This window comes from Homo sapiens, chromosome X (genome assembly GCF_000001405.40).
Source record: "Homo sapiens chromosome X, GRCh38.p14 Primary Assembly".
Classification (NCBI taxonomy): Eukaryota; Metazoa; Chordata; class Mammalia; order Primates; family Hominidae; genus Homo; species Homo sapiens.
The window spans coordinates 151,912,114-151,925,544 of record NC_000023.11 but is presented as its reverse complement, the minus strand read 5'-3'; the positions used below and the strand labels follow the sequence as shown (position 1 = coordinate 151,925,544).

Below are 13,431 nucleotides of genomic sequence, written 5' to 3'. Positions count from 1 at the left end.
CCATTGTCACAAAGGAACCGCTCAGAGCACTTTTCCAATCTGGGCTTTTCCCTCTCCCTCTGAGAATCTGGCCCTGGACCCACCAAGCTTCATTAGAATCAGATCCCTCAGAAGAAAATGGAGTTTCCCAAAGCCCAAAAGGCCCCACACAGGGAATTTACACCCGACCACTCTCACCTGGAGCCCCATACCCACACTCGTTACTTTTCCCCTACATCTTAGAGGACATCTTGTCACCTTAATTATATGACCGCGCTCCTAGACTCTTAATACCCTATCGGTAGGTGTGTGTCTGGCTTACCCTAGTATCTCCACTACTAATCCTGGGCCTTCCACAGAGCAGATGCTCAGTGCATAGAGAAGAAATGAGCCAGTTAACAGAAAGAATTATTTATTCAGATTTAATTTCTCTTACATTCACGAAGCCAAGGAAATCCAGGTATGCATATATATTTTTTAAATTTTACAGAATAGACTGAGGCATAAGGCGGGAATTAAGTATCTTTTAATTTATCTCACCTATTTCACGGTGAATTCACACTTCTAAATACTTACTCCACTGCTGTTATTATGTCCCAAATTCACAAAATAGAACGGATTTCCCAATCTGAATAAAAAACAAGACTCTTACTCCTAAACTATATTAACAGCAATATACGTTAACTACGATTCATAAACTTGGATGCTGAAGTTAATTCAACCATCCATTAAAAGGAACATTTCAACAATTGTAAAAGGAAACAGAGATAAATCTCCAAGTCATCCAACAAAATAGAAACCCACTACTAAGAACACTGACTATTTTCTTCAAACAGAGTGAAGAATGGGCCTCATGTTACACGAGGCAAGGGAAGCTGCTGCACAGGGCTGTTAGATGCACTGGCCCAGCCCTGCCCCTTCCCCACAGCCCTGGCTGCAACTCATGCTCAGACTCCCTCTTCCTCCTCTAACAAAGCTGCTTCACGCAGGGATGGGTAGGCAATGCGAACTCTTGCATTGACCCTGACCACATGCTCCAGGACTTTCACATAGCTGGTTTCAGCCAGAGCCCTTGGACCCCACAGGAACTCATAGCGCGCAGGATTACTGCCGGGTACCTGCCGGTACTCCAGGTAGTTTTCCTGCACCCAATCTTGGGTGAGCAGTTTCCTGGGCTCCCCATAGACAGTGTGCTCCCTCCCATCATACACCCCCATCACACCCAGCTCCTCCCAGATTTCCTCCTCAGAGGCGCTGTCGCCCTCCATTGCAATTGTGCCCAGGACGATTATCAGAAGGCCTGTCTTGGGAAAGATCTGATTATTACCCAGCAGGCCATCATAGGAAAGGCCCAGGCAGGTGACAAGGGTGTAGGTGTTGCTGGCGGGGTCCACTTCCTTCACGTCAATGCCAAAGATCATCTTCAGGGACTCGGAGGCTTTGCCGAAGATCACAGGAAAGCAGCGCTTGTAATTTTTGATGACTCTCTCCAGCATTTCTGCCTTTGTGACCAGCTCCTTGGCTCGATACTTGCGGAGCAGAAAATGAGCCAACTCATCCACCTTGTTACTGAGTGCTTCTCGGAACAAGGACTCTGCGTCAGGCGAGGTGCTTGGCCCCTCCTCTTCTTGGCTGCTGGAACCCTCATTGGGTTGCCTCCAGCAAGTGAAGCTGATGGTAGTGGGTAAGGCAGAGGCTCCCTGAGGACTCTGGGGAGGACCTGCTGACTCAGCAGCAGGCACTTCCTCCAGGGTGCCAGGGACCAGAGGAGAGGAGGAGGAGACAGCAGCCTCCTGCTCCTCAGTAGTAGGAGCCTGTGCACCCACCAGGCCCAGGGCCTCTTCTTGGGCCTCAACGCCTTCCTCAGGCTTGCAGTGCTGACTCTTCTGCTCAGAAGACATGATGACTCTGGTCAGGGCAGCAGGCAAGAGTGCAGGCAAAAGCTGGGCAATGGGGACCCACAGGCCTACGGAGAGAGGGAGCATGTGAGAGACCTCAGCTGAGAACCAAATCTTAGAGGCTCTAACAAAGGCTTACTTACAGATCTTCTCCTTGGTGCTCCTCTGTGGCCTCCAGGGAATCCTGTCCTCCGGTTGGCCTGTCTGCTCAGAACCTGAAGGAGGAAGTGAGAGAGCACCTCAGGGTATAGCCGGCCAGCAGAGGTCGATTCTGCAGGATTGATGGTAGGGAGGTGAGGCCAGACTCTTTGGAGTCCTATGTGTCTTGTGGCAGGTGGGGCCCTTGGTGTGCATTCAGGGCAAACATTCACTGCTGGCACAGCCTGTGCATCCTCTGCTCTGTAACCTGAGGACACTGTCTCAGACCAAGGCCTCACTGCCTTGTTCCTGGAGCTCCTAGGAGAGGAATCCATGGGCCCTTAGGGTGCAGACTGTAAGCACAGCCCCGGTCCCTCAGTGCCATCAAGAGGGTAGGCTGGACTCTGTGAGGTCCCCACTCTCATGGAGTGGATGATCCCCACTGTGTTCACTCAGGGCCCTCACATTTCTCCAGGCAGGGCCTGGATCCCACTCTTTTGCTGGCCTGAGAAACTCAGATCAAGAGCTCACATGCCTGAGAGGGAACAGGACCTAAGAAACCCCACATCTGGCCACCTGTGCCTAGGTCTTCCGAAGAACGACAGCAAAAGATGTCGAAATTCATTGGAACCCATGTGTCCTGGATGCGGAGCCTGCTTGGTCCTCACCTCAACTCCTGGCAGAGCCTGGGACCCTCCCTCTACTGACCTGGGTGCAGCCCCCTCAGACCAAGGCCTCCCACTCCGTGACACCAGTGATCCCAGGATAAGAGAGGGACCTCAGCAGAAAGCCAAGCCCATGCTCTCTGGGGTGACAACAGGAGCAGGGCTGATTTCTGTGGGGTCATCATCTGCGTTCTGGCCCTGTGGTACCCTCAATCCTCCCTCACATTCCTCACCAGGACTCTTGGCAGATCCTGGGACCACTGTGTCTGTAGACCAGATGGGGGTCCCTGTGGTGACCTGAGTCACCCTCTGAGAACAAGGTCCTCACCTCACTGAGATCTGGAATCAGAAATGAGAAGGAGCCACATCCTGTCACCCCTGTGTGGGGTGCCCAGGGCTGACCCCTTTGGTTCTGGGGTGAGGGTTCTGATGGCCTCCTGTGGGGTACTCATGTTTGCTCCTGACAGGGCCTGCCCTTCCTCAACCCCCAACCCCCTGAGATGAGCAAACATTGCCCCTTTACTCCAAAACCTCATCTCCCTGAAGGTTCCCCAACTTCCTGCCTGTGGAACAAGTGAAATTGGCACATAGGGCCATCCCTCCTCTGGTCCCCCCTGAGCTAAGAACAGGGGACAGCCAGACTCTGTGGGGTCCCGTCTTTCTGAGCCACAGGTATCCCCATTCCTCGTGAAGTGTGGCACACCTTGGGTCCTGTAGATCCTGGGACTCCTCCCTCTGCGGACCTGAAGTACCACCCCTCAGACCATAGCCCTCTCCTCTCTGTGACCTCGAAGATGCAGGAAGTATGAGCTACAGGTGGCTACCTTGCCCAGGACCTCCCAGGGCCCAGGTCTCCACTGATCTGGAATGCAAGGCCCCCTGAATCCTCCCTCGTCTTCCTTTCCTTGATCCTGGAAGGGCTTGGAACCCACCCCTCTGCTGACCTGAGTTGCCATCCCTTGGATTCCTGAGGCTAAAAGAGGAGGCACCTCATTCTCAGACGGGGTGGGGTGGGCTCCCTGCCTTGGGGTGCTGGGTCTCCTGAGGCCTTCCTCATCTCCCAGGAGGGCCAGGGTCCTCCCTCTGCTACCCTGAGGCTCTGCTCATGATACCAAACCCTCTCCCTCCTTCAGCCCTCGATGTGGATGTCAAGATCCGAGTGCCTGACCATTCCCAGGTCTTCCCGGGGTTGACTGCAGGGGAAAAAATGGATTCTGCAAAACGGAGTTGGGGATGGGGCTGGGCATGTTGGAATGCGGATGGGGTGGGGGTGTAGCGCCCTCAGTTCCCTCTCAAGGTCCTGACCCCGATGCCAGGCAGAGCCTGGGCCCTGCCTTGGGCACACCAAGCTCTTGACTCTAGAGTCCCCTGTAGCTTTAGTGGCAGTGGGAGCTGGGATGGCCTAGCCTGAGAAGTCTTCCCCCGGGTGGTCCAGGACTGGCAGCAGGAGCTGCGCTGGATTATTTGGGTTCCTCTATCTTGGGTGGGGGCCTCCTCAGTCCTTCCTCAGAGTCTCACCTTGCCTCGCCACAGAGCTTGGGCCCGCTCCCCTCAGCCGATCTCAACTGGCCCCTCAGGACTATGCCCTTGATTCTCTGACCCCCAAAAAACATCCCAGCACCAAGCCTGGGGTTTCCCTGGATTGATAGCAGAAGGGGAACTGGATTCTGCCTGGTGAGGGTGGAGGGCAAGGAATGGGAAATGGAGCAGCGAAATGGCAGCGGATTTGTGGGAGTGGGGGTTAGACTAGGATCTTGGGGGACCTCAGTTCCCTCTCAGGTTTCTGACTTTGATTCCTGGCAGGGCCTGGGCCATGCCCTCTCCTAACCAGCCCTTCCCTGATCACACCAACCTCTGACTCCAGAGTCCCCTGTGGCTTAAACAAACGCGTTGCGAAGGGGGCGGAGGTGGGGAGCAGCCCAGTCTGAGAAGTCAGCCTCCGCGGGGTAGTCCAGGGCTGGGACCCTCTATCAGGGATAGGGGTTTCCTGAATCCTCCCTCAGAGTCTCACTTTGCCTCTTCACAAAGCCTGGGCCACCTTCCCTCTGCCGATCTCAAGCCACCCTTCAGACCCAGAAACTCACTTCTCTCTAACCCTCAATTCACAAGTCAGTGGCATCACATCCGGCCACCCAGGGCTTGCCTGGATTGAAAGCAGGGGTGGAACCGGATGCTGCGCTGATGGGGATGAAGGTAGGGGTGGGGGAGGGGGGTATGAGGCTGGTTGGGGGGTTGGGGAGGATAGGGGCACAGGTGGGGAATGGGGGTACAGATGGGGTAGGGAGTGCAGATGGGAAAGGGGTAGGGGATAGGAATGGGGGTGGGGGACACTCAGCCCTCTCCTAGGGTCCTGACGTTGATGCCTGGCAGAGCCTACCCCCACCAGTCCTGCACTGATCACACCAAGCTCTGACTCCATAGTCCCCTGCGGCTTCAGCGGCAGTGGGGTGGTGGGCGTCCCAGACTCAGAAGTCCGCCCACGGGTGGCCCAGGACTGGAAGCAGGAGGGGTGCCGGATTATTTGGGGTCGTCTATCTGGGGTGGAGAGGGCCTCCCGACTTCTCCCTCAGCTTCTCACTATGCCACCTCACAGAGCCTGGACCGGCTTCCCTCTGCCAATCCCAAGCTGCCTGTCAGACTGAGAAGCTAGCGTCTCTCTAACCCCCAATGCACAAGTCACTGGCATCACATCCAGGAACCTGGAGCTTCCCTGGGTTGAAAGCAGAAACGGAATGCGATTCAACCTGGATGGGGATAGTGGTGTTGGGGTGGGGGATGAGGACATAAGGGTAGTGGGGGTTTGGGGAGGATAGGGGTGCTGGTGGGGGATAGGGTGTAGATGGGGTTGGGAGTGTGGATGGGAATGGGAAGGGGGATGGGAATGGGGGTGGGGGACCCTCGGCCCTCTCTTACAGTCCTGAGGTTGATGCCTGGCAGAGCCTGCCCTCACCAGTCTTGCACTGATCACCCCAAGCTCTGACTGCAGAGTCCCGTGCGACTTCAGAGGCAGTGGGGTGGTGGGCGCCCCAGACTCAGAAGTCCCCCCACGAGTGGCCCAGGGCTGGGAGCATGAGTGGTTCGGGATTATTTGGGATTGTCTATCTGCGGTGGGGGCCTCCTGAGTCCTCCCTCAGCGTCTCACCTTGACTCCTCACAGGGCCTGGCCCGCTTCCCTCCACCAGTCCCAAGCTGCTGGTCAGACAGAGCAGCTCGCTTTTCTCTAACCCCCAATGCGCAAGTCAGTGGCATCACATTCCGGCACCTGCGGCTTTCTTGGGTTGAAAGCGGAAGCAGAACCCGATTCAGCGTGGATGGGGGTGGGAGGAGTGAGGTCGGTGGAGGGGGCGCGTTTTGGGGGTGGGTTGAAAGCGGAAGCAGAACCTGATTCAGTGTGGATGGGGGTGGGAGAGGTGAGGTTGGTGGAGGGGCCCGGGTTTTGGGGTGGGAGATGGTGGTGTGAGAGAGGTGCGGGGTTGAGGAGGATAGGAGCCTGGTGGGGGATGGGGGCGCGGATGGGTTTGGGAGTGCAAATAGTAATGGGAAAGGGGAGGGGGTGGGGGATGGGAATGGGGGTGGGGTACGCTTAGCCCTCTCTTAGGGTCCTGAGGTTGATGCCTCGTAGAGCCTGCCCTCACTAGTCTTACACTAACCACCCCAAGCTCGGACTCCAGAGTCCCATGTGACTTCAGACGCAGTGGGGTGGAGGGCGCCCCAGACTCAGAAGTCAGCCCACGGGTGGCCCACGGCTGGTAGCAGGAGTGGTGCGGGATTATTTGGGGTCGTCTATCTGGGGTGGGGGCCTCCTGAGTCCTCCCTCAGCGTCTCACCTTGACTCCTCACAGGGCCTGGCCCGCTTCCCTCCACCAATCCCAAGCGGCTGGTCACAGAGCAGCTCGCTTCTCTCTAACCCCGAATGCGCAAGTCAGTGGCATCACATCCGGGCCCCTGGGGCTTTCTTGGGTTGAAAGAGAAACCAGAAATCAGATTCAGCGTGGATGGGGGTGGGAAGGGTGAGGTCGGTGGAGGGGGCGGGTTTTTGGGGGTGGGTTGAAAGCGGAAGCGGAACGTGATTCAGTGTGGATGGGGGTGGGAGGGGTGAGGTTGGTACAAGGGCCCGGGTTGTTGGGGTGGGAGATGGCGGTATGAGAGAGGTGGGGGGTTGAAGAGGAGAGGAGTGCTGGTGGGGGATGGGGCGTGGATGGTTTGGGAGTGCAAATGGTAATGGGAAAGGGGACGTGGTGGGGGATGGGAATAGGGGTGGGGTACGCTTAGCCCTCTCTTAGGGTCCTGAGATTGATGCCCGGCAGAGCCTGGCCTCACTAGTCTTACACTAAACACCCCAAGCTCTGACTCCAGAGTCCCATGCGACTTCAGAGGCAGTGGGGTGGTGGGCGCCCCAAGCTCAGAAGTCCGCCCACAGGTGGCCCACGGCAGGTAGGAGTGGTGCGGGATTATTTGGGGTCGTCTATCTGGGGTGGTGGCCTCCTGAGTCCTCCTCAGCGTCTCACCTTGACTCCTCACAGGGCCTGGCCTGCTTCCTTCCACCAATCCCAAGCTGCTGGTCAGACAGCAGCTCGCTTCTCTCTAACCCCCAATGCGCAAGTCAGTGGCATCACATCCGGGCCCCTGAGGCTTTCTTGGGTTGAAAGCGGAAGCGGAAACACGATTCAGCGTGGATGGGGGTGGGGGGGAGGTCGGTGGAGGGGGCGGGTTTTTGGGAGTGGGTTGAAAGCGGAAGCGGAACCCGATTCAGCGTGGATGGGGGTGGGAGGGGTGAGGTTGGTGGAGGGGCCCCGGTTTTTGGGGTGGCAGATGGCGGTATGACAGAGGTGGGGGGTCGAGGAGGAGTGCTGGTGGGGGATGGGGGCGGGGATGGGTTTAGGAGTGCAAATGGTAATGGGAAAGGGGACGTGGTGGGGGATGGGAATAGGGGTGGGGTACGCTTAGCCCTCTCTTAGGGTCCTGAGATTGATGCCCGGCAGAGCCTGGCCTCACTAGTCTTACACTAAACACCCCAAGCTCTGACTCCAGAGTCCCCTGCGACTTCAGAGGCAGTGGGGTGGTGGGCGCCCCAAGCTCAGAAGTCCGCCCACAGGTGGCCCACGGCTGGTAGGAGTGGTGCGGGATTATTTGGGGTCTTCTATCTGGGGTGGTGGCCTCCTGAGTCCTCCTCAGCGTCTCACCTTGACTCCTCACAGGGCCTGGCCTGCTTCCTTCCACCAATCCCAAGCTGCTGGTCAGACAGCAGCTCGCTTCTCTCTAACCCCCAATGCGCAAGTCAGTGGCATCACATCCGGGCCCCTGAGGCTTTCTTGGGTTGAAAGCGGAAGCGGAAACACGATTCAGCGTGGATGGGGGTGGGGGGGAGGTCGGTGGAGGGGGCGGGTTTTTGGGAGTGGGTTGAAAGCGGAAGCGGAACCCGATTCAGCGTGGATGGGGGTGGGAGGGGTGAGGTTGGTGGAGGGGCCCCGGTTTTTGGGGTGGCAGATGGCGGTATGACAGAGGTGGGGGGTCGAGGAGGAGTGCTGGTGGGGGATGGGGGCGCGGATGGGTTTAGGAGTGCAAATGGTAATGGGAAAGGGGACGTGATGGGGGATGGGAATAGGGGTGGGGTACGCTTAGCCCTCTCTTACGGTCCTGAGATTGATGCCTGGCAGAGCCTGGCCTCACTAGTCTTACACTAAACACCCTAAGCTCTGACTCCAGAGTCCTCTGCGACTTCAGAGGCAGTGGGGTGGTGGGCGCCCCAGACTCAGAAGTCCGCCCACAGGTGGCCCACGGCTGGTAGCAGGAGTGGTGCGGGATTATTTGGGGTCGTCTATCTGGGGTGGGGGCCTCCTGAGTCCTCCCTCAGCATCTCACCTTGACTCCTCACAGGGCCTGGCCCGCTTCCCTCCGCCAATCCCAAGCGGCTGGTCAGAGCAGCTCGCTTCTCTCTAACCCCCAATGCGCAAGTCAGTGGCATCACATCCGGGCACCTGGGACTTTCTTGGGTTGAAAGCGGAAGCGGAAACCCGATTCAGCGTGGAAGGGGGTGGGAGGGGTGAGGTCGGTGGAGGGGGCGGGTTTTTGGGGGTGGGTTGAAAGCGGAAGCGCAACCCAATTCAGCATCCATGGGGGTGGGAGGGGTGAGGTTGGTGGAGGGGCCCCAGTTTTTGGGGTGGGAGATGGCGGTGTGAGAGAGGTGCGGGGTTGAGGATAGGAGTGCTGGTGGGGGATAGGGGCGCGGATGGGTTTGGGAGTGCAAATAGTAATGGGAAAGGGGAGGCGGTGGGGGATAGAAATAGGGGTGGGGTACGCTTGGCCCTCTCTTAGGGTCCTGAGGTTGATGCCTCGTAGAGCCTGCCCTCACTAGTCTTACACTAACCACCCCAAGCTCGGACTCCAGAGTCCCATGCGACTTCAGACGCAGTGGGGTGGAGGGCGCCCCAGACTCAGAAGTCCGCCCACGGGTGGCCCACGGCTGGTAGCAGGAGTGGTGCGGGATTATTTGGGGTCGTCTATCTGGGGTGGGGGCCTCCTGAGTCCTCCCTCAGCGTCTCACCTTGACTCCTCACAGGGCCTGGCCCGCTTCCCTCCGCCAATCCCAAGCTGCTGGTCAGACAGAGCAGCTCGCTTCTCTCTAACCCCCAATGCGCAAGTCAGTGGCATCACATCCGGGCCCCTGGGGCTTTCTTGGGTTGAAAGAGGAAGCGGAAATCAGATTCAGCGTGGATGGGGGTGGGAGGGGTGAGGTCGATGGAGGGGGCGGGTTTTTGGGGGTGGGTTGAAAGCGGAAGCGGAACGTGATTCAGTGTGGATGGGGGTGGGAGGGGTGAGGTTGGTACAAGGGCCCGGGTTGTTGGGGTGGGAGATGGCGATATGAGAGAGGTGGGGGGTTGAAGAGGAGAGGAGTGCTGGTGGGGGATGGGGCGTGGATGGTTTGGGAGTGCAAATGGTAATGGGAAAGGGGACGTGGTGGGGGATGGGAATAGGGGTGGGGTACGCTTAGCCCTCTCTTAGGGTCCTGAGATTGATGCCCGGCAGAGCCTGGCCTCACTAGTCTTACACTAAACACCCCAAGCTCTGACTCCAGAGTCCCCTGCGACTTCAGAGGCAGTGGGGTGGTGGGCGCCCCAAGCTCAGAAGTCCGCCCACAGGTGGCCCACGGCAGGTAGGAGTGGTGCAGGATTATTTGGGGTCGTCTATCTGGGGTGGTGGCCTCCTGAGTCCTCCTCAGCGTCTCACCTTGACTCCTCACAGGGCCTGGCCTGCTTCCTTCCACCAATCCCAAGCTGCTGGTCAGACAGCAGCTCGCTTCTCTCTAACCCCCAATGCGCAAGTCAGTGGCATCACATCCGGGCCCCTGAGGCTTTCTTGGGTTGAAAGCGGAAGCGGAAACACGATTCAGCGTGGATGGGGGTGGGGGGGAGGTCGGTGGAGGGGGCGGGTTTTTGGGAGTGGGTTGAAAGCGGAAGCGGAACCCGATTCAGCGTGGATGGGGGTGGGAGGGGTGAGGTTGGTGGAGGGGCCCCGGTTTTTGGGGTGGCAGATGGCGGTATGACAGAGGTGGGGGGTCGAGGAGGAGTGCTGGTGGGGGATGGGGGCGCGGATGGGTTTAGGAGTGCAAATGGTAATGGGAAAGGGGACGTGATGGGGGATGGGAATAGGGGTGGGGTACGCTTAGCCCTCTCTTACGGTCCTGAGATTGATGCCTGGCAGAGCCTGGCCTCACTAGTCTTACACTAAACACCCTAAGCTCTGACTCCAGAGTCCTCTGCGACTTCAGAGGCAGTGGGGTGGTGGGCGCCCCAGACTCAGAAGTCCGCCCACAGGTGGCCCACGGCTGGTAGCAGGAGTGGTGCGGGATTATTTGGGGTCGTCTATCTGGGGTGGGGGCCTCCTGAGTCCTCCCTCAGCATCTCACCTTGACTCCTCACAGGGCCTGGCCCGCTTCCCTCCGCCAATCCCAAGCGGCTGGTCAGAGCAGCTCGCTTCTCTCTAACCCCCAATGCGCAAGTCAGTGGCATCACATCCGGGCACCTGGGACTTTCTTGGGTTGAAAGCGGAAGCGGAAACCCGATTCAGCGTGGAAGGGGGTGGGAGGGGTGAGGTCGGTGGAGGGGGCGGGTTTTTGGGGGTGGGTTGAAAGCGGAAGCGCAACCCAATTCAGCATCCATGGGGGTGGGAGGGGTGAGGTTGGTGGAGGGGCCCCAGTTTTTGGGGTGGGAGATGGCGGTGTGAGAGAGGTGCGGGGTTGAGGATAGGAGTGCTGGTGGGGGATAGGGGCGCGGATGGGTTTGGGAGTGCAAATAGTAATGGGAAAGGGGAGGCGGTGGGGGATAGAAATAGGGGTGGGGTACGCTTGGCCCTCTCTTAGGGTCCTGAGGTTGATGCCTCGTAGAGCCTGCCCTCACTAGTCTTACACTAACCACCCCAAGCTCGGACTCCAGAGTCCCATGCGACTTCAGACGCAGTGGGGTGGAGGGCGCCCCAGACTCAGAAGTCCGCCCACGGGTGGCCCACGGCTGGTAGCAGGAGTGGTGCGGGATTATTTGGGGTCGTCTATCTGGGGTGGGGGCCTCCTGAGTCCTCCCTCAGCGTCTCACCTTGACTCCTCACAGGGCCTGGCCCGCTTCCCTCCGCCAATCCCAAGCTGCTGGTCAGACAGAGCAGCTCGCTTCTCTCTAACCCCCAATGCGCAAGTCAGTGGCATCACATCCGGGCCCCTGGGGCTTTCTTGGGTTGAAAGAGGAAGCGGAAATCAGATTCAGCGTGGATGGGGGTGGGAGGGGTGAGGTCGATGGAGGGGGCGGGTTTTTGGGGGTGGGTTGAAAGCGGAAGCGGAACGTGATTCAGTGTGGATGGGGGTGGGAGGGGTGAGGTTGGTAGAAGGGCCCGGGTTGTTGGGGTGGGAGATGGCGGTATGAGAGAGGTGGGGGGTTGAAGAGGAGAGGAGTGCTGGTGGGGGATGGGGGCGTGGATGGTTTGGGAGTGCAAATGGTAATCGGAAAGGGGACGTGGTGGGGGATGGGAATAGGGGTGGGGTACGCTTAGCCCTCTCTTAGGGTGCTGAGGTCCATGCCTGGCAGAGCCTGCCCTCACTAGTCTTACACTAATCAACCCAAGCTCTGACTCCAGAGTCCCCTGCAACTTCAGAGGCAGTGGGGTGGTGGGCGCCCCAGACTCAGAAGTCCGCCCACGGGTGGCCCACGGCTGGTAGCAGGAGTGGTGCGGGATTATTTGGGGTCATCTATCTGGGGTGGGGGCCTCCTGAGTCCTCCCTCAGCGTCTCACCTTGACTCCTCACAGGGCCTGGCCCGCTTCCCTCCGCCAATCCCAAGCTGCTGGTCAGACAGAGCAGCTCGCTTCTCTCTAACCCCCAATGCGCAAGTCAGTGGCATCACATCCGGGCCCCTGGGGCTTTCTTGGGTTGAAAGAGGGAGCGCAACCCGATTCAGCGTGGATGGGGGTGGGAGGGGTGAGGTCGGTGGAGGGGGCGGGTTTTTGGGGGTGGGAGATGGCGGTATGAAGGTGGTGGGGTGTTTGGGAGGATGGGGAGCTGGTGGAGGATGGGAGTGTAGATGGGTTTGTGAGTGCGAATGGGAATGGGAAGGGGTTAGGGGATGGGAATGGGGTTGCGGGATGGGAATAGCGGTGTGGTACGCTCAGCTGGCTTTTAGGGTCCTGAGGTTGATGCCTGGCAGAGCCTGCCCCCACCAGTCTTGCACTGATCACCCCAAGCTCTGACTTCAGAATCCCCTGAGGCTTAAGTGGCAGTGGGGTGGTGGCCCCCCCACCACAGACTGAGAAGTCTCCAGGAGTGGCCCAGGGCTGGCAGCAGGGGTGGTGTTGGATTTTTTGTGGTCGTCTATGTGGGGTGGGGGTCCTCCTGAGTCCTCCCTCAGCATCTCACCTTGTCTCCTTATAGAGCCTGGGCGGGCTTCCCTCCGCCAGTCTCAAGCTGCGAGTCAGACGCAGAAGCTCGCTTGTCTCTAACCCCCAGTGCGCAAGTCAGTGGCATCACATCCGGGCAGCTGGGGCTTTCCTTGGTTGAAAGCGGGGGCGGAACCGGGGATCCTGCCTGGATGGGGGTATGGGTGTTGGGGGGTGGGGGTGCAGGTGTGGGGTGGGGGATGAGGGTGCGGGGGTTGAATTGGGGATGGGGGTATGAGGGTGGCACGGGGTTGGGGAGGATGGGGTGCTGGTAGGGGATGAGGGTGTGGATTGGGTTAGGAGTGTGGAAGGGAATGGGAATGGGGTGGGGGATAGGAATGGGGGTGGGGAACCCTCAGCTCTCTCTTAGGGTCCTGACTTTGACGCCTGGCACAGCCTGCCCCCACCTTGCCTCCTCACAGAGCCTGCGCCTGCTTCCCTCCGTGGATCTCGAGTTGCTGGTCAGACCAATGCGCAAGTCAGGGATGTCACATCCGGGCCACCTGGGTTGACAGCAGGGGTGGAACCGGATTCGGCCAGGGTGGGAGTTGGGGTGGGGGAGGAGGCGAGAGGTCCTGGGGTTAGGGGTTGAGGTAGGCGTGCCCCTCAGTCCTTTGATTCCTGGCATAGCCTGGACCCCTGTTCTCTGCGGATGGTGTCTGCTCCCCTCAGACCAAGGTTCTGACTCCTAGTCCCCTGAGGTCACAGTGGGGGGAGAGGTGTCCTTGGGCGACAAAGCCGCTGGGGTCTTCCAGGGCTGACAGGAGGGACTAAGCTGGATTCTGTGGCCCCTCTTTGAGCGGGGGTTTACCCTCAGTCTTCACTCAGGAGGGTCC

The 13,431-nt window shown here is 58.9% G+C and overlaps 1 protein-coding gene across 11 annotated transcripts; it reads right to left on the bottom strand.

Moving 5' to 3' along the window:
* MAGEA4 (MAGE family member A4) lies at nucleotides 375-13,071 on the bottom strand. 11 transcript variants are annotated; one of them, NM_001386198.1, is made up of 5 exons: nucleotides 12,576-12,656; nucleotides 9,908-10,035; nucleotides 5,823-5,952; nucleotides 2,021-2,092; nucleotides 375-1,945 (listed from the first exon to the last, which is right to left on the bottom strand). In NM_001386198.1, exon 5 carries the CDS (start codon nucleotides 1,878-1,880, stop codon nucleotides 927-929), a length of 954 nt encoding a protein of 317 aa, NP_001373127.1. In that variant the 5' UTR covers nucleotides 1,881-1,945; nucleotides 2,021-2,092; nucleotides 5,823-5,952; nucleotides 9,908-10,035; nucleotides 12,576-12,656; the 3' UTR covers nucleotides 375-926. The 11 variants fall into 11 exon arrangements, with proteins under 11 accessions (NP_001373127.1, NP_001373129.1, NP_001373126.1 ...); NM_001386200.1 differs by lacking the exons at nucleotides 5,823-5,952; nucleotides 9,908-10,035 and adding an exon at nucleotides 6,508-6,635; NM_001386197.1 differs by lacking the exons at nucleotides 5,823-5,952; nucleotides 9,908-10,035 and adding an exon at nucleotides 2,914-3,019.

Excerpts from the sequence above, each read along its gene's own strand:
- MAGEA4 (NM_001386196.1), bottom strand. The coding sequence starts at position 1,880 with ATGTCTTCTGAGCAGAAGAGTCAGCACTGCAAGCCTGAGGAAGGCGTT.